Here is a 21,490-nt window from a genome sequence, read left to right as displayed (position 1 = left end):
TCCCAGTTAGGCTACTTGGTGGTCAGGGACCCACTTGAGGAGGCAGTCTGTCTGCTCTCGGATCTCAGACTCCATGCTGGCAGAACCACTACTGTCTTCAAAGCTGTGAGACAGGGATGTTTAAGTCTGCAGGAGATTCTGCTGCCTTTTGTTCAGCTATGCCCTGCCCCCAGAGGTGGAGTCTACAGAAGCAGGCAGGCCTCCTTGAGCTGTGGTGGGCTCCACCCAGTTTGAGCTTCCAGGCTTCTTTGTTTACCTACTCAAGCCTCAGCAATGGTGGGCGCCCCTCCCCCAGCCTTGCTGCCGCCTTGCGGTTTGATCTCAAACTGCTGTGCTAGCAGTGAGCAAGGCTCTGTGGGCATGGGACCCACTGAGTCAGGCATGGAATATAATCTCCTGGTGTGCCATTTGCTAAGACCGTTGGAAAATTGCAGTATTAGGGTGGGAGTGTCCCAATTTTCCAGTTGCTGTCTGTCACTGCTTCCCTTGGCTAGGAAAGAGAATTCCCCGGCCCCTTGTGCTTCCTAGGTGAGGCAATGCCTCGCCCAGCTTTGGCTCACAGACCGTGGGCCGCACCCACTATCCTGTACCCACTGTCCGACAAGTCCTAGTGAGGTGAACCCAGTACCTCAGTTGGAAATGCAGAAATCACCAGTCTTTTGCGTCACTCACACTGGAAGCTATAGACTGGAGCTATTTCTATTTGGCCATCTTGATTCCTCCTCCAAAACCAAAACTTTCTAATGAAATGTCACTGCCTCTTTATTTTTATTTCTGCTATGTAAAATGACTTGAATATAAAAATAAAATTATGTGGCCCATCTGACCCAGCTCATGAAAAAACAAATAAAAGAACCGTAAAAACATGCCTTCAAATTTGTTTATTCTTCTACTGATAATTCTATGACCAGTGAAATTATCAAATGTCAAGATAGAAGAAATCATTTTTAGGCATTTAAACAATTATAATCTTTGTTTATCATGCATCCTACCTTAGCATGTTACTTTCAGAGAAATTATAAAGAAATAAACAGAAATAAAAAACTAAAAATGCAAACAGATTAAATATTTCTCAAAGGAAATTAGTAACTGTAAGAAAGACAAAACTGTCTAACACTAAATCATAAAAGTATAATTCTCAATGTACCAATAATTAATGTTTTATATACTCATATTAACATGATTAATGAATTCATTCAGAATTTTAAAATCAATTTAAAGCCAGAGAAGTGGATCTAATTTTACTAATTGAAAGGAATCACCCTTGACCATATAAATGTACATGTGGCAAGTTGAAGGACAAAATGATAAACAAAAAAGACAATCAGAAGGATAATAAAACCCATATCTTAATATGGTAATGTTTAGAGCCAAGAATACTATATATTCTGTAGATTAAGAAATAAAAATATGAGCAATATTATTTACATTTTCCAAAACTAACTAATAAAGCATATAAATTTGGTGTTGTAATTATGCTGATAGTAAAAGATAAAGTGGGCTTGGCTGAATAAATCATAACAAAAAACCCAACTTCATGAAGTTTATAAAGGCAGAAGTAGCAACATTAATATATTAATCTATAATATGGGCATAACTCCCAGGAGAAATAGTTAAAGAATTGAATGTGTGAAGGGATGAGGGAAGAAAATGTTATGTTTGATTTTTAACAATCTTATTTGATTAAAAATAAATCCATAGATAATTTTAATAAACAGAAACAAGTTTAAATACATACTTGTATATGTGCACCCTGAAGTTATAAAATTTATTAAAGTAGCTAAGCTCTACTCTCTAGCAATTATTTTTTAATGGTAACCAGATAGCAGCCACCATAGGGAATAACTGACAGTCTAACCATTTTGTAATTCTTAAAATCTAATGAGCTTCATACTCAGTTTATTTGATCCACTCCTCCTGACTACAGCTTACTCATCATTTTTATCTGTTACTGATTTTCTAAGTACCTCATAACTCAATGGTCTTTATCTTTCTTTCTTTACCCCTGCCTTCTGTAAGATGTTAGAAGGTATAGTCAGTTTTGATGACTCACTCTTGGAAATTGTTTATTACCTTATTACCTACACTCTGTGACACTATTTTCTACTCATTCCTCTTACACATTTCAGTTTCTTTTTTAGTCTCCTTTATAGATCTCTGTTTGTCTTTATATTAGGTCTCCAGGACTCACTTTTCATACAGTTCATGGGTCTTTACATCTAAAAATATGACTTTACATAACAAATCCAAAATCTATATTTAAAGTCTCATCCAAACAACTTATCCAAAGTTATTCTTTTATATATAACACTATATTGTGCCCCTCAAATTGAATAACTCACCAGTATTTCAAACTCAACCTGTCATGAACTCTTAACTGTTCTTCCTCCACTTGTCCTACTTCATCAAGCTGCTGGTCCTCCTAAAATAATTGTATTATCTACCTATTTTAGCAATATTCATAAACAATGGCACTCTGGGATGATCATTGAGCATACCTTCATCAGTTACCATGCTTCTTGTCACCAAACAGTGTAGACTCTTCCTCTGTAATAACTTAAAAATAAAGGCTCTCAACTCTTTTATATAACCTGCTTACTCTTTTGATACTATCCCCTTTATAAAAGCCTTCAACGGCTCTTGTATCTTTCATTTTTCCCACTCAAAAATTATCTGTCTCAGCAAAAGTGGGTCTTCAGTGTCTCCAAAAATGTGATGGGCATGTTATCTGCAAGATTTATTCTTTCAATAAAGCTGTTATCTCTTTACTCCACTTGCCTATATCTTACTCAACCTTCACATAACCCATCTCCTCAATAAAATCTTCACTTTCTCTGCAAATATTTGGACATCACTTACTATTTTGAAACCTATGGAACTTACTAGCAATACCAATTACTAAACTTGTTCTATATGTTAGGCTGAAACTTTTTTTCCCTTAAAAATTATTTATCTTACCCATTAGATGTTAAGGATTTCTTAAGAACAAAATGTATCCTATGCCTCTTCAAATTCTCAGTGTCTGTGTGTCCTACACATATTAGCTTCTCACAATATATTTTTGATGAGATGAATAAAAAATCTTTATAGAATATATTTTCCCAATTTTCTCATTGTGGAATAATCTATACATTTAGAGTACTATAGTAAAGCACTAGCTTTTGATGTAAAAAATGTTTTAATGCATACCCTGTCATCATGTACTAGGATAAATAACACTAACATGTATACATTATTGATCTTTAGAAGCTTAATATGTGTTAGTTGATGAAAATGTCCTAACAATGTCCATCTAAGAACCATGACCTTTATCATATACCAATGGATTATATTTTAGACAAGCAAAACCAAACATTATGCAAAGATATATTTTTAGGTATCCACTAAAAAAGCTACCTGCTAATTATCTAGGAATTCATTTTTTCGGTTTCTGTAAATTTCATGCTAATCATCTATTTTATGAGATGCATGAATCAGGTATCTAGCCAAATTTTGCTCAGTAAAGATGTTAGCTTGAGAGTATGTAGGCACAGTTCAAATCAGATTCAAAAAGATGAAATAATAATAATTAAAAAGATTTGGAAGATGATAGAGAATAATGCTCATCTGAATATTTCTCATCAAAATTATTCTTATAGCCATGGTCCCATGATCATCAAAGATGAGAGAGATTAAAGTAAATTTGAAAGGGAAGTGATAAAGGCACCCTAATATTCTCATCTATGTACTTCCTAAGGCTGAGTTCCCAACTTCCTGGTGGAAAAGGTAATTCCTTCTCAGAATACTGAGTTTTTGTTACTGCTTACATTTACAATTAATTTCCACTTAAAATATGCTGCAACTAATAAATAACCTCAGAATCTTAATGGCTTACAGAAACAAATATTTTGTTTTCACCCATGTTACATACTGATCCCATGCTACCCCCTGTAGTACTGCTACAGGTGTCTTCTTTCTAGGTCCTTAGCTGACTGAGCTGTCTCTAAGTGGGATAGAAGTAAAAGAAAGAATGGTGGTACTAACTAATGGATATTTAAGCTGTTCAGAGATGATGTGTGTTACTTGTTCTCATTTCAATGATAAAAGCAAGTTCATGATCTACCATAAGTAATGTTACAGCAGTGAATTATTTGAACAATAATTCTTCCACAATTTATTCCTGCTGTCACATATATTCTCTTACTTTCTTCATATTAAATATTCTCACTTTCTTCCAAATAGAGTTAAATTAAAAATTTTATCCATCACAGCACTAGGCTTAAAGTCTAGGCTCTCATGATCTCTACATTGGTTTACAATATGAATTGTTTTAATCTAGACATTTCTGAATTAAATGACACACTATATCTCTCAAACATGCACTTTACAATTTTGGAACAGAAAACTACAATAAATATACCTATTGAAAGAGGAAAAAATGGATGATGCCTAGGTGTTACTGGTTTGTTGTATATCCATTGAGGCCCAGTTCAGCTCCAGCTTAGCTGCATATGTTTTCTCTCTGCAACTAAGACAGGTGGATTTGTCTGTATCAGAGGCTCCTGGAAAAAAGAGTAAACACAATCGCTCAAGATTTTCTTCTTGAAAACCTACTCATAATTGTCACTCACATTTTATTGCCCAAGAAAGTTACATAACCAAAGCTGACTTCTAGAGGAATAGAATAAATAATAGAATAAAGGTAGAATGAAGTTTGAAAAATACTAAAATCTACCATATTAAATTAGCATAACTTTAATACAAACACAAGTGCACAGGAAGAATTGTGTATATGCATTTTTGTTGAATACACAGAATGTAGAAAGAGCCAGAAAATCTATATTTTCTCAATATGTATAATATACATATATTTCAATTTACATGATATGAAGTAGTTTAAGTGAGTACATGCTTTTAAAATAGACCAAATTTTATCTAGTATGTCTCCTTGTAAATTTCCTGGCTTCTTTGATAGATACTATAATTAAAAGAATAATATCTTTGCCCAAGATAATATGCCTTCATCATTGATAATTGTTGTCCATTATCGAAGTCAAAACTAGCCATGGAAGTCCAGCTTCATCTCTCGTTTCCTACCTTCCATTACTAAGAAACGTGTACATATAATATACAATAAAACGTTAAGAATTAGCATGGCTTGCCAAAATATTTTCTTATTGTTCTTTATCCTGATTTAATTTATAAACTTGTTGATAAAATAAAGTCCTTATAGAAATGAGAGTTTAAAATGAATATTCTTGAAATGCAATATATTTATATGCAGTGATAGGGAATTCCTCTGAACTTTTCTGACCATGGTTTGTTGTCTTACTCATCAATAATTGGTCTTAAAAGTGGTTCTCTTAGAATAACTTAAATTTACTAAGTATCCAATAGTTCAAATATCATAATAAACTGCTGCATTCATCAACAACTGAAATGGGAATAATCATTTTTATAATAGATCTAGTACATTATTTGCACTTCCCCCTTTGGTCTTTAATGATATTTGCTTAAAAATATTAACAAGGTTACTGTAGCCTTGTAGTATAGTTTGAAGTCAGATAGCATGGTGCCTCCAGCTTTGTTCTTTTGGCTTAGGATTGACTTGGTGATGCGGGCTCTTTTTTGGTTCCATATGAACTTTAAAGTAGTTTTTTCCAGTTCTGTGAAGAAAGTCATTGGTAGCTTGATGGGGATGACATTGAATCTATAAATTACCTTGGGCAGTATGGCCATTTTCATGATATTGATTCTTCCCACCCATGAGCTTGGAATGTTCTTCCATTTGTTTGTATCCTCTTTTATTTCATTGAGCAGTGCTTTGTAGTTCTCCTTGAAGAGGTCCTTCACGTCCCTTGTAAGTTGGATTCCTAGGTATTTTATTCTCTTTGAAGCAATTGTGAATGGGAGTTCACTCATGATTTGGCTCTCTGTTTGTGTGTTATTTGTGTATAAGAATGCTTGTGATTTTTGCCATTGATTTTGTATCCTGAGACTTTGCTGAAGTTGCTTATCAGCTTAAGGAGATTTTGGGCTGAGACAATGGGGTTTTCTAGATATACAATCATGTGATCTGCAAACAGGGACAATTTGACTTCCTCTTTTCCTATTTGAATGCCCTTTATTTCCTGATCCTGCCTAATTGCCCTGGCCAGAACTTCCAACACTATGTTGAATAGGAGTGGTGAGAGAGGGCATCCCTGTCTTGTGCCAGTTTTCAAAGGGAATGCTTCCAGTTTTTGCCCATTCAGTATGATATTGGCTGTGGGTTTGTCATAGACAGCTCTTATTATTTTGAGATACGTCCCATCAATACCTAATTTATTGAGAGTTTTTAGCATGAAGGGCCGTTGAATTTTGTCAAAGGCCTTTTCTGCATCTATTGAGATAATCATGTGGTTTTTGTCTTTGGTTCTGTTTATATGCTGGATTACATTTATTGATTTGCGTATATTGAACCAGCCTTGCATCCCAGGGATGAAGCCCACACTGGTACCAAAACAGATATAGATCAATGGAACAGAACAGAGCCCTCAGAAATAACGCCGCATATCTACAACTATCTGATCTTTGACAAACCTGAGAAAAACAAGCAATGGGGAAAGGATTTCCTATTTAATAAATGGTGCTGGGAAAACTGGCTAGCCATATGTAGAAAGCTGAAACTGGATCCCTTCCTTACACCTTATACAAAAATTAATTCAAGATGGATTAAAGACTTAAACATTAGACCTAAAACCATAAAAACCCTAGAAGAAAACCTAGGCATTACCATTCAGGACATAGGCATGGGCAAGGACTTCATGTCTAAAACACCAAAAGCAATGGCAACAAAAGCCAAAATTGACAAATGAGATCTAATTAAACTAAAGAGCTTCTGCACAGCAAAAGAAACTACCATCAGAGTGAACAGGCAACCTACAAAATGGGAGAAAATTTTCACAACCTACTCATCTGACAAAGGGCTAATATCCAGAATCTACAATGAACTCCAACAAATTTACAAGAAAAAAACAAACAACCCCATCAAAAAGTGGGCAAAGGACATGAACAGACACTTCTCAAAAGAAGACATTTATGTAGACAAAAAACACATGAAAAAATGCTCACCATCACTGGCCATCAGAGAAATGCAAATCAAAACCACAATGAGATATCATCTCACACCAGTTAGAATGGCAATCATTAAAAAGTCAGGAAACAACACATGCTGGAGAGGATGTGGAGAAATAGGAACACTTTTACACTGTTGGTGGGACTGTAAACTAGTTCAACCATTGTGGAAGTCAGTGTGGCGATTCCTCAGGGATCTAGAACTAGAAATACCGTTTGACCCAGCCATTCCATTACTGGGTATATACCCAAAGGACTGTAAATCATGCTGCTATAAAGACACATGCACATGTATGTTTATTGCGGCACTATTCACAATAGCAAAGACTTGGAACCAACCCAAATGTCCAACAACAATAGACTGGATTAAGAAAATATGGCACATATACACCATGGAATACTATGCAGCCATAAAAAAGGATGAGTTCATGTCCTTTGTAGGGACATGGATGAAATTGGAAATCATCATTCTCAGTAAACTATCGCAAGAATGAAAAACCAAACACCGCATATTCTCACTCATAGGTGGGAATTGAACAATGAGAACACATGGACACAGGAAGGGGAACATCACACTCTGGGGACTGTTGTGGGGTGGGGGGAGGGGGGATGGATAGCTTTAGGAGATATACCTAATGCTAAATGATGAGTTAATGGGTGCAGCACACCAGCATGGCACATGTATATATATGTAACTAACCTGCACATTGTGCACATGTACCCTAAAACTTAAAGTATAATAATAATAAAATAAAATAAAAAAGAAAAAAATATTAACAAGGTTTGGTTTTAATATACAATATATTTCATATGTGTCAACCAGTTGAGGATACGAACTGTGCTAAGAGAGCAAATGAATTTACAAAAAAAGGATATAATTTTTACAAATGCTGGACTTGGCTTTGGATGCTGGTTTTGTGTTTCAAGAATATTGTGGTTATTTAAAAAATAATGGTCACCAATATTTGCTGAAATCATTTTTTGGCAAAGCTAAAATGTTTTAAGAAGCATCTAATTCATCCTAAACATATCAGCTATCATTTACATTAACCTAGCGTTGTCATTTCAGACTAAAGTGAATCATAAAAGCATTAAGAAATACAGGGAATAAAACTCAATGGAAAATTTTTAATTGAATGTGTCATGAAATGTTCATATTATATATTATGTACAATTTTTAAATTTTTGCACTATTAAGTTTGGTGCCACAGAGGATGAGAGTTTTTTTTTTCCAATTACTATAATTTCATGATGACATCCATTAGAATTTTTTCTCTAAAATTAACAAATACTTCAAAAATAATGAATTAAACAAGAAATTAATTTTATATTTTATGAATACATTTGTTTCTATTTATAATGACAGCATCAATTACATTGTGGCCAAAATTAGTAGAATTCCCATTTGTTTTCTTCACACATGCAACTTTTCATAAAAATTGAGCCCATTCAAAGCCGTTACACTAGCAATAATATCTTTGTATGCTTGGATATAATGAAAAGTAATGGAAAGTATGCTTGGAAGTAATGAAATAACTCATAGTTTGAGAGATATCATTGATATCATTGATTTTTTGAAAATACGAAAAGATAAACTATTATTATTGTTATTTTTACTTCAAGTTCTGAGATACATATGCTGAACGTGCAAGTTTGTTACGTAAATATACATGTGCCATGGTGGTTTGCCACACCTATGAACCTGTCATCTAAGTTTTAAGCCTCACATGCATTAGGTATTTGTCCTAATGCCCTCCATTCCCTTGCCACCCCCAGCCCCAACAGGCCCTGGTGTGTGATGTTCCCCTACCTGTGTCCACGTGTTCTCATTGTTCACCTCCCAACTATGAATGAGACCATGCAGTGTTTGATTTTCTGTTCCTGTGTTAGTTTGCTGAGGATAACGGTTTCCAGCTTCATCCATGTCCGTGCAAAAGACATGAGTTCATTCTTTTTTATGGCTGCATAGTATTCTATGGTGCATATGTGCCACATTTTCTTTTTCCAGTCTATTAATGATGGGCATTTGGGTTGGTTCCAAGTCCTTGCTATTGTAAATAGTGCTGCAATAAATATAACGTGTGTATGTTTCTTTATAGTAGAATGATTTATAATCGTTTGGGTATATACCCAGTAATGGGATTGCTGGGTTAACAATTGTTAAAATACCACATGTCAAATGTAAGCAATGGTCATAAAATGGCACTTAGAGGGAAAAATATAATCTTGTCATAAAATGACACTAAAATTACACTTAGAAAAATATAACCTTGAATAGTCATATTAAGAAAAGAAGATTAAAGATTAATGAGTTATGCATTTAATTTAAGAAGAAAAAGAATAGCAGGCAAACCAAAAGGGAATACAATAAATGATATAATAAACATAAGAGAAGACTTTAATATGATTGGAAACAGACATACTCTACAAAAGTTGGTTCTTTGAAGCAACTAATAAAAGACACACAACTTGCTCAAATTAATCACAGAAAACAACAAGCAAGAGGAGGAATGTCACAAATAAATTATAGTTGATCCTTGAATGGGTTTGAACTGCATGGGTTCACTTTCATGTTTATTTATTTCAACATATTTAGAAATTCTTTGGAGAGTTGTAACAATTTGAAAAAACTTGTGAATGAACTGTGTAGCCTAGAAATATAAAAAATTAAGAAAGTTATGTTACTAGTGCATGAAATATATGTAGACAATACTAGTCTATTATAAGATGACTACCATAAAATATACATCAATCTATTATAAAAAGTTAATATTTATTAACACATGCACACAAGCACTCACAAATAGTACATGACACCATTTGAAGCCCACAGAATTGTAAACAAATATAACAATGGAGTATTATTTCATAAACTGCATAATATGTTTGGTACTACTGCTATAGTTTTTTAGCCATCGCTTGTTGCTATTGTGGTCAGCTCAAGTGTTGCCAGTATCTACTTAAATACTCTGTGATACTAATTATCTCTGCATAAGGAGTTTGTCTCTACAGTAAATTGCCAATTGCGGTAAAAGGTGGTCTTTTGTGGTCCTTGTGTATTTTTCATCTTGTTTAGTGCAATACCATAAACATTGAATAGTATCATGGGACCTATACAAAACGCTACCAGTCATGCTGGAAGTTCTCCCAAGAAGCAGAGAAACGTCATAACACTATAAGAAAAAGTTGAGTTATTTGATATGTACCACAGATTGAGGTCTGCTGCTGCAGTTGCTGCTATTTTAAGATAAATAAATCCAGTGTAAAAACCACTGTAAAAAATGAATAAGAAATTTATTAAGCTTTCACTGAAGCTATGCCAGCAAGCATAAAAAAATTCACACTTTTTACAAATTACCTTTTTATCTAGTATTAAAACTGCAAATTTATGTGGATGCAAGATTTGTATAAGAAAGGCATACTTACAGAATAATATAATTTGATAAAAAGTGAAGTCATTATATTAAAACTTAAAACTAAAGGAAGAAGAAGGATCTAAAGCTGGATAATGTAATGCCAGCGAAGGATAGTTTGATCATTTAAAAAAGTGGTTTGGCTTAAAAAATGTCAAGATAACAGAAGAAGCAGCTTCTGTTGACCAAGAAGCAGCAGACAATTTTTCAGATGCCATTTAAAAAAAATAATTGAGAAGAAAGAATATCTGCCTGAACAGGTTTTTAATAAAGACAAAAGTGCCCTAATCTGGGGCCTGTGGTGGAGCTCCAAAGGACATTTATTAGTAAGTAAGAGAAGTAAGCACCAAAATTTAAGGCAGGAAAGTATAGGAAGGGAAAGGCTATCTCTACTCTTTTGTGCAAGTGCAGTCAGGCTTATGATTAGAACTACCCTTACGTCTAATTCTGGTAACTCCAGAGCCTTGAATTAGAAAGATAAATGCCAAAAAAATGGTTACCAGAGACTGAGAAGGGTAGTGGGGAACTAGGGGGTGGGGGTGGTGGAGATAGTTAATGAGTACAATAAAAATAGAATGAATGAATAAGACCTGCTATTTCATAGCACAACAGGGTGATTATAGTCAATAATGATTTAACTGTACATTTCGAAATAACTTAAAGAGTATAGGTGAATTCTTTGCAACTCAATGGATAAATAGATGCTTGAAGAGATGGATGTCCATTCTCCATGATGTGTTTTATTTCACATTGCACACCTGCATGAAAACATTTCATGTACCCCATAAATATATACACCTACTATGTATCCTCAACAATTGAACAAAATCCAGCAGGTAATTTTGCATTTGGAGGAAAAAAATGAAAAATAGCAGCTCCTAGTCAGTCATTTGGTTGTATAACAAGTAGGCCAGGGTAATGAGGGCATATATACTGGGTCAGTTTCATTGATGCTTTGTCTCTGAAGTTAGGAAGTATCTTGCCAGTAAGAAACCGGCTTTTAAAGTTCTTTCAATATTGGACAAGGCCCCCAGCTATTCAGAACCTCATGAGTTCAATGTTGAAGGTGTCAAAGGGGTCTACCTTTCCCTAAATACGACTTCATTTCAACCTCTAGATTGGGGGTCATAAGGACTTTCAAGCCTCATTATGTACTCTATGGAAAGGATTGACATTGCTGTGGAAAAAACCCCAATAGAAAGAACATCATGTGAGTCTAGAAGGATTACACCAATGAAGATGTTATTGTTATAGAAAATGCTGTGGAAGAAATCAAGCCTGAAACAATAAATTTCTGCTGCAGAAAACTGTGTACAGGTGTCCTGCATGACTTCATAGGATTTATGACAGGGCCAGACAAGAAAATCATGAAAGGGATTGTGAATACAGCAAAAAATATAGGAGGTGAAATCTTTCAAGATATGGATCTTAGAGAAATCCAAGACTTATTGTACACCACACAAGAAGAGTTAACAGAAGATGACTTGATAGAGCTGAGTGCTTCTGAACCAGAGCCAGATAATGAAGAAAACGTAGATGAATCAGAGCCAAAAAACAAGCTGACATCAGAAAATCTGTCACAGATCTGCTTTTGACTTCTTTTCATGGCATGACCCTTCTATGACAACAGGCACTGAAACTAAAGCATATGGTGGAAGAAGGATTGGTACCAAACAGAATCATTGTAAGGGTAATGAAAAAGCAAAAAATGAGCAGAAATTACAATGTATTTTCCAAAAGCTCTGTAAAGGCCTTCCTCCCCTGCCTCCCTTTCCATCTCCTTTACCTTTTCTGCCTCTGGCACCCCTGAGACAGCAAGACCAACCCTTCCTTTTCCTCCTCCTCAGTCTATTCTATGACAAGCTTGAAGACCTTTATAATGACCCAGTGATAAAACAGACAAAAGATATATATTAAAAAAGTGAATATATTTCTCTTCCTTATGATTTTCTTAATAACTTTACCTTACTTTATTGTAAGAATATAGTATATAACATATACAAAATCTGTGCTAATCGACTGTTTATATTATCAGTAAGCCTTCTGGTCAACTGTAGGCTGTTAGTTAAGTTTCTGGGAAGTCAAAACTTACGTACAAATTTTCAGTTGTGTGGTTTGTGGGCAATCCTAACCCCCATACTGTTCAAAAGTCAATTCTATACAAGGGGAAAAAGACAAAAAACAATGCAAGTATGAGAAACTAAATATAGACTAAAAGTGTAAATAATTTTATGCCAATAAACTTCAAAGTTTAGATGTAATGGATTCTTTATTAGAAAAAGTAAATTTCAAAGCCATCTCAAGGAGAAATAGAAATAAGGAGAAGTATATAACAATTAAATTAGGAGTTCAAAATATTCCCTCAAAACATTAAGTTCAGATAATTTTGTAGGTGAGTTATTCTAAGAATTTATATCACAGGTATTTCCTACTTTTACAAACTCCTCCAGGGAATAGAACACAGGGAGTATCTGCCTTCTTATCTGAGACTAGATTTAAGTTCCATATTAAAATCAGGTGTCAGGAAAAAAAATGAAATGACCAACAAATCTCAATGATAAGTATAGTTGCCAAATTCCTGAACAATACAGTAGGTATAAGAGGCTCAGGTATTTATCAAAAGCAAAACTAAACAAAACCAGAATATGTAGTAACCAAAATTTACTTAGTGAAGGAATTTATGGCTTGTTTAATATTAGAAAACATTTTAATGCAATATGTCATTTTAAAAGAGTAAACAATAAAAGCTATGTGAACACATTAATAGGTACACAAAAAGTAAAAATAAGTAGTATATATTTATAATAAAAAAAAACTTAGGAAGAGAAGATCATTTACCAAGCATGAATCAACGCATTAAACAAAAAGTATACTCCATAATGATAGGTGAGTATGCTTTTTTTTAAAATTGTGAAGGAAATTATAATGTCCACTTCCACCACATTATCCAACATTGAGCTAGGAGTTCTAGCCACTGCAGTTAAACAAATAATAAGAAACAATCGTTATGAGAAATGCAACAGGCGAAACTAACTCATTATTTATAGGTAGTATGATATAGAAAGCTTCTCCCATCCACATCTGAAGACCAGTTATTATAATTGTGAATAGAATGTGGTAAGATCAGTTAAAGGAAAAATACAGAAGTCAATAGCTTTTCTATGCCAACTGAGTTAGCTAGAAAATGTATCTGAAATAAACACATAAGCACAATAGAAAATAAAATGTGAGCCTTTTATTAAAATAAAGAAATAAAACTTTACTAAATAAATGGAAATATCATCTTTCTAGATAAAGTTGTACAACACTTCAAAATGCAGAATTACCTCATTTGATTTATATTTTATAAACTTGCTTTGTATTTTTCAATGTAAAAAGGAAAAACAAACATGTAAACCAGTTCACACTCTCCCTGGCGGAACAGATTGGTCCAGGGATAATTGCTGATTATACTGGAACGAATAATTGTAAATACATTTCACTTTGCTAGAGATAGCAAGAAACCCAATATACTAACAGAATAATATGCTACAACCAAATTATAACATAATGAAAGAAAAGTAATAAATATTAATCTAAAGAAAGTTAGAAAAAAAATTAATGAAGGTAAAAACACACCATAAATAATAACAAAAAGTATTCATATTGTCAATAAAACACCCCAGCTTTTAAAAGCTTTATATTAAGCATATTTCTATATTTCTATCTAAAATGAGGTTTTTTAAATCTTATAAGATAGTTTATTCAGTTTATAAAAGAGAAATAGGCAAAATATATTTGTATGACAAATAACATTTATATGATTATTTCAGCACTTGGAATTGATTCAATAAAAGCTAAAGCCCTTTCCTCATTAAAAAAATTTCATTTAAAAATTAGATATGAAGCATTGTAAGTTTAACAGAATAATGATCACTATTAGCTGTTAAAACGGTCAGCTAACTGCTATACTAAGACGTTTGGATAGCAAAGGATTAAGCCTGGTCTCTGAAGATAGACACTGATCCTTTCCTTCTCACGTTCTACCATGGACCAGTTGGGTAAGCCTTAGCAAATTACCATATTGCAGTTCCTTCATCAGAAATATGTTCATAAAAACAGTACCTCCTCTAAGGGTTTTCTCCAGGATTAAATAAGTTAATAAATATAATGCTCTTAGGATAATCCTTGCTACATATTAAGTTATCTATAAATGCAAGCTTTTAGTATTACTATACTTAAATATAGAACTATCAGAGGTATTGCAGTAAAAATAGGAAAGAAAAAATTTTACTGTTACTGCTATAATTATCATACTGCTCACAGTCTATGATACTACAAATTTTAATTAAAGCTTTCAATTGAATAGGTTTTTGTTAAAACCACAATCACATAAATGTATATAACAACTATAAGATTTCATCTATATTTCAAAAGTGTTAAAGTATAAGAAAGTACGTTAGGATGTAAATAATATGTTAATATTGGCCTGAAAATGTAGCAGGTTATAAAAAAATTGAATTGAAAGAATACATAATTGTTATTCTACGTCATATAAATTCATGTCTAGTATCCCAAGAAGACTAATTTAAAAAATGCGAATTAATAAGAGATAAGCAAATAGGAAAGTATATATTTGTAAAAATAAAAACATTTATAATAACTATCAGGCAACTATTAAAATCACATTTAAAATGCATTCATTCAATTAATATACTTTCCCATGATTATTTATTCATGCATTGTTTTATATAGACATATATATGTGTGTGTATATATGTATATATATATATATTTGTATTCATCCATTTGACATTCTCTTACTTTACTAACTAATACCTTTAGATCTGAATTTCAATTTTCTTTTTCTTTTCTTTGGTGTGGGATTTACTAGAAAAGTTTGAAAAACAAACGCAATTACCAGGATTTCAAAAATAGGACACTTCTGACAGTTCTAAATACAAACAAATGTAGATAGTGATAAATTCCATATCCTTTTTCTGAAGTCGTGTAATTCATTGAAACACAGCAAAGAATAAAAATGAGATGCTTTCAGAAAGAAAAAAATATATTTCCAAATAAAAGTATACTTTCAAAAAAATTTTAAAAAGAGGATTTTAAGGAGTATTTCTTCAAACAGACAAGCTTAGGAAAATTCATTATAGAGGCCAATAATTTTCATAAGGTACCATTCATGTAAATTTTCCTGATCTTTCAATTTGACACAACTTTGAGCATAGATTATATGCAGGTTTTCATTTCTTTTTGGCAGTAACATCAATATGAATAAAATGTACAAGTACATTTTAACAGCTGTAAAAAGGAAAACCTAATAGATTGCACTATTTTGAGAAATTATTTAGAAAGAAAATAAAAGCCTACTGTAAAGTGTTATAGATATTTAGTATTTATAGTCAAGAATGTAAATATAATAGATGTATTATAAATCTATACTTAACAAAATACCCCAAAGTACTTATATGCCATGAAATATTTTGAAAACATTTTCTAGGATGCCTTTATTTGTTACACATTAAGTACATGGTTTTTCCCCTAAATTTTTTGGAATTTCTTGGCATTTGAGTAAAGTGTCAAAGATATATTTTAATTCAGAGAAATTATTAAATTATCTGTGAATGATTTAATACAAGGGATAACATCATGGGAAGAAAAGGATGTAAGTACAGGCTTCAGAACTGTTAACATTTATTTGCCCTTATTCTCACTCTTTATTTATTTGTTCATTCTAAAACAGACATTTAGCTATTCATATTATAGCTCTTCTTCTTTTATCCCCTTTTTCTCTGCTTATTAAAAAAGCTTATTTATGACATAGTTTTGCTTACACTGATGTATGACTAACAACAACATCTTTTCTAAGAATAAGTGATTTTTTTTACAAAAATGACATGAGACTGCTTAAATAGGAAAAATAAATAAATCTTAGATATTACAATTTCTGCTCTTAATTTTTCAGAGTTGTTTCAATTCCATCTTGACTGTTTAAAATAAATTAACAGAAGATAGAATCTTGGAGTTAGACTTGGTTATTAGCCAGTGTCTTTATTTCTCCCTTTATTTTTACATAGCCCCCCACTCAAATCATTGTACCTGTAGTTTTGCAAAGTGAATATCTAAGGTATTCAAAAATAATAACGTTCTTGTGGTAGGGCTTTTTGTATAATTTTAGGTGAAATTATAGGGATTCCTCACAAAATGTGTTTACAGCACAATGAGCAAATATCAACACAGAGTGGTCATTGAATTAATTTATATTTTGACTTAATTTGATATGTCGAGAGCCAAGTCTCAACACATGTTACTTTGTAATACATTGAGCAGTGTCGACAGAATCTAAATGTAACTTTATAAAACTAGGAAAACGTTGACCACATATGTGAACTTAGATGCTGGTACAATTATCCCATTTTAGGTTCAGTGACAAATTAAAGCTGACAAAGTAGAAATGAAATTAACATACTTTGAAATAGAAACATGTTCACTCTAATGGATTAATTTCCACATTCACCTGCCATCTTTCTGTTTCAGCAATAAGAAAGGGAAAAAAATTAATGAAGTTAGATGATCCTGTAAACTTCAATACAAAGTGAGTTCACTGATGTGATTATGGCTTCATCATTTCCTCTGTTAGAAGACCCAGTTTTCAAAGATATGTTCATTTTCATTGAGGATTCTTTATAGATGAAAATCTTATCCAAAATCTCCATTTAGCAATGACATAAAATGTGTCACATTTATCTGCTTCCCACTTTCACCTAAAGAAATGTTTCTTCTGGCTTAACAAAAGGCAGCAGAAACTTCTGCAGACTTAAATGTCCCTGTCTGACAGCTTTGAAGAGAGCAGTGGTTCTCCCAGCACAGAGTTGGAGACCTGAGGACAGACAGACTGCCTCCTCAAGTGGGTCCCTGACCCCCAAGTAGCCTAGCTGGGAGACACCTCCCAGTAGGGGCTGACTGATGCCTCATATGGCCGGATGCCCATCTGAGAGGAAGCTTCCAGAGGAAGGATCAGGCAGCAACATTTGCTGTTCTGCAATATTTGCTATTCTGCAGCCTTCGCTGGTGATACCCAGGCAAACAGGGTCTGGAGTGGACCTCCAGCAAACTCCAACAGACCTGCAGCTGAGGGTCCTGACTGTTCGAAGCAAATCTAACAAACAGAAAGGACATCCACACCAAAACCCCACCTGTACATCACCATCACCAAAGACCAAAGGTAGATAAAATCACAAAGATGGGGAGAAACCAACCAGAGCAGAAAAGGTGAAAATTCTAAAAATCAGAGTGCCTCTTCTCCTCCAAAGGAACACAGCTCCTTGCCAGCAACGGAACAAAGCTGGATGGAGAATGACTTTGATGAGTTGAGAGAAGAACGTTTCAGACGATCAGTAACAACAAACTTCTCCGAGCTAAAGGAGGATGTTTGAACCCATCATAAAGAAGGTAAAAACTTTGAAAAAAGATAGGTGAATGGCTAACTAGAATAAACAGCATAGAGAAGACCTTAAATGACCTGATGGAGATGAAAACCATGGCATGAGAACTACATGACACATGCACAAGCATCAGTAGCCGAGTTGATCAAGTGGAAGAAAGGTTATCAGTGATTTAAGATCAAATGAATGAAATGAAGTGAGAAGAGAAGTTTAGAGAAAAAAAGAGTAAAAATAAATGAATAAAGCTGCCAAGAAATATGGGACTAGGTGAAAAGACCAAATATACATCTGATTACTGTACCTGAAAGTGATGGGGAGAAAGGAACCAAGTTGGAAAACACTCTGCAGGATATTATCCAGGAGAACTTCCACAACATAGCAAGGCAGGCTAACATTCAAATTCAGGAAATACAGAGAATGCCACACAGATACTCCTCGAGAAGAGCAACTCCAAGACACATAATTGTCAGATTCACCAAAATAGAAATGAAGGAAAAAATATTAAGGGTAGCCAGAGAGAAAGGTCGGGTTACCCTCAAAGGGAAGCCCATCAGACTAACAGCGGATCTCTCGGCAGAAACTCTACAAGCCAGAAGAGAGTGAGGGCCAATATTCAACACTCTTAAAGAAAAGAATTTCGAACCCAGAATTTCATATCCAGCCAAATTAATCTTCATAACTGGAGGAGAAATAAATTCCTTTACCGATGAGCAAATGCTGAGAGATTTTGTCACCACCAGGCCTGCCTTACAAGAGCTCCTGAAGGAAGCACTAAACATGGAAAGGAACAACCAGTACCAGTCACTGCAAAAACATGCCAAATTGTAAAGACCATTGATGCTAGGAAGAAACTGCATCAACTAACAAGCAAAATAACCAGCTAACATGATAATGACAGGATCAAATTCACACATAACAATATTAACCTTAAATGTAAATGGGCTAAATGCTCCAATTAAGACACAGACTGGCAAATTGGATAAAGAGTCAAGACCCATCAGTGTGCTGTATTCAGGAGACGCATTTCATGTGCAGAGACACACATAGGCTCAAAATAAAGGGATGGAGGAAGATCTATCAAGCAAATGGAAAAAAAAAATCAAGGGTTGCAATCCTAGTCTCTGATAAAATGGACTTTAAACCAACAAAGATTAAGAGACAAAGAAGGCCATTACATAATGGTAAAGGGATCTATTCAACAAGAAGAGCTAACTATCCTAAATATATATGCACCCAATACAGGAGCACTCAGATTCATAAAGCAAGTCCTTAGAGACTGGCAAAGAGACTTAGACTCCCACACAATAATAATGGGAGACTTTAACACCCCATTGTCAATATTAGATTAATGAGACAGAAAGTTAAACAAGGATATCCAGGAATTGAATTCAGCTCTGTACCAAGCAGAACTAATAGACTTCTACAGAACTCCCCACCCCATATCAACAGAATATACATTCTTCTCAGCACCACATCACACTTATTCCAAAATTGACCACATAGTTGGAAGTAAAACACTCCTCAGCAAATGTAAAACAACAGAAATTATAACAAACAGTCTCTCAGATCACAGCGCAATCAAATTAGAACTCAGGATTAAGAAATTCACTCAAAACCACTCAACTATATGGAAACTGAGCAACCTGCTCCTGAATAACTAATGGGTACATAACGAAATGAAGGCAAAAATAAAGATGTTCTTTGAAACCAATGAGAAAAAAGACACAACATACCAGAATCTCTGGGACACATTTAAAGCAGTGAGTAGAGGGAAATTTACAGCACTAAATGCCCACAAGAGAAAGCAGGAAAGATCTAAAATTGACACCCAAAAATCACAATGAAAAGAAATAGAGAAGCAAGAGCAAACACATTCAAAGACTAGCAGAGGGCAAGAAGTAGTAATATCAGAGCAGAATTGAAGGAGATAGAGACACAAAAACCCTTCAAAAAAATCAGTGAATCCAGGAGCTGGTTTTTTGAAAAGATCAACAAAATTGATAGAACGCTATCATGACTAATGCAGAGGAAAAGAGGGAAGAATCAAATAGATGCAATAAAAAATGATAAAGATGGTATCACAACCGATCTTACAGAAATATAAACTACCATCAGAGAATACTATAAAAACCTCTATGCAAATAAACTAGAAAATCTAGAAGAAATGGATAAATTCCTGGACACATACACCCTCCCAAGACTAAACCAGGAAGAAGTTGAATCCCTGCATAGACCAATAACAGGCTCTGAAATTGAGGCAATAATTAATAGCCTACCAACCAAAAAAAGTCCAGGACCAGACGGATTCACGGCCAAATTCAACCAGAGGTACAAAGAGGAGCTGGTACCATTCCTTTTGAAACTATTCCAATCAATAGAAAAACAGGGAATCCTCCCTAACTCATTTTATGGGGCCAGCATCATCCTGATCCCAAAGCCTGGCAGAGACACAACAAAAAAAGAGAATTTTAGACCAATATCCCTGATGAACATCGATGCAAAAATCCTCAATAAAATACCAGTAAACCGAATCCAGCAGCACATCAAAAAGCTTATCCACCATGATCAAGTGGGCTTCATCCCTGGGATGCAAGGCTGGTTCAACATATGCAAATCAATAAACGTAATCCATCTTATAAACAGAACCAAAGACAAAAACCACATGATTATCTCAATAGATGCAGAAAAGGCCTTTGACAAAATTCAACAGCCCTTCATGCTAAAAACTCTCAATAAATTAGGTAGTGATGGACTGTGTCTCAAAATAATAAGGGCTATTTATGACAAACCCACAGCCAATATCATACTGAATGGGCAAAAAGTGGAAGCATTTCCTTTGAAAACTGGCACAAGACAGGGATGCCCTCTCTCACCACTCCTATTCAACATAGTGTTGGAAGTTCTGGCCAGGGCAATTAGGCAGAAGAAAGAAAGAAAGGGTATTCAATTCAGAAAAGAGGAAGTCAAATTGTCCCTGTTTGCAGATGACATGATTGTATATTTAGAAAACCCCATCATCTCAGCCCAAAATCTCCTTAAGCTGATAAGCAATTTCAGCAAAGTCTCAGGATACAAAATCAATGTGCAAAAATCACAAGCATTCTTATATACCAATAACAGACCAACAGAGATCCAAATCATGAGTGAACTCCCATTCACAATTGCTTCTAAGAGAATAAAAGGTACCTAGGAATCCAACTTACAAGGGATGTGAAGGACCTCTTCAAGGAGAACTACAAACCACTGCTCAATGAAATAAAAGAGGACACATAAAAAATGGAAGAAGATTCCATGCTCATGGATAGAAAGAATCAATATCATGAAAATGGCCATACTGCCCAAGGTAATTTATAGATTCAATGCCATCCCCATCAAGCTACCAATGACTTTCTTCACAGAAATAGAAAAAACCACTTTAAAGTTCATATGACACCAAAAAAGAGCCCACATTGCCAAGACAATTCTAAGCCAAACAAAGCTGGAGGCATCATGCTACCTGACTTCAAACTATACTACAGGGCTGCAATAAACAAAACATCATGGTAC

The sequence above is a fragment of the Homo sapiens genome, chromosome 8 (genome assembly GCF_000001405.40).
Source record: "Homo sapiens chromosome 8, GRCh38.p14 Primary Assembly".
NCBI classification, from domain to species: domain Eukaryota; kingdom Metazoa; phylum Chordata; class Mammalia; order Primates; family Hominidae; genus Homo; species Homo sapiens.
This window is presented reverse-complemented; position numbering follows the sequence as displayed.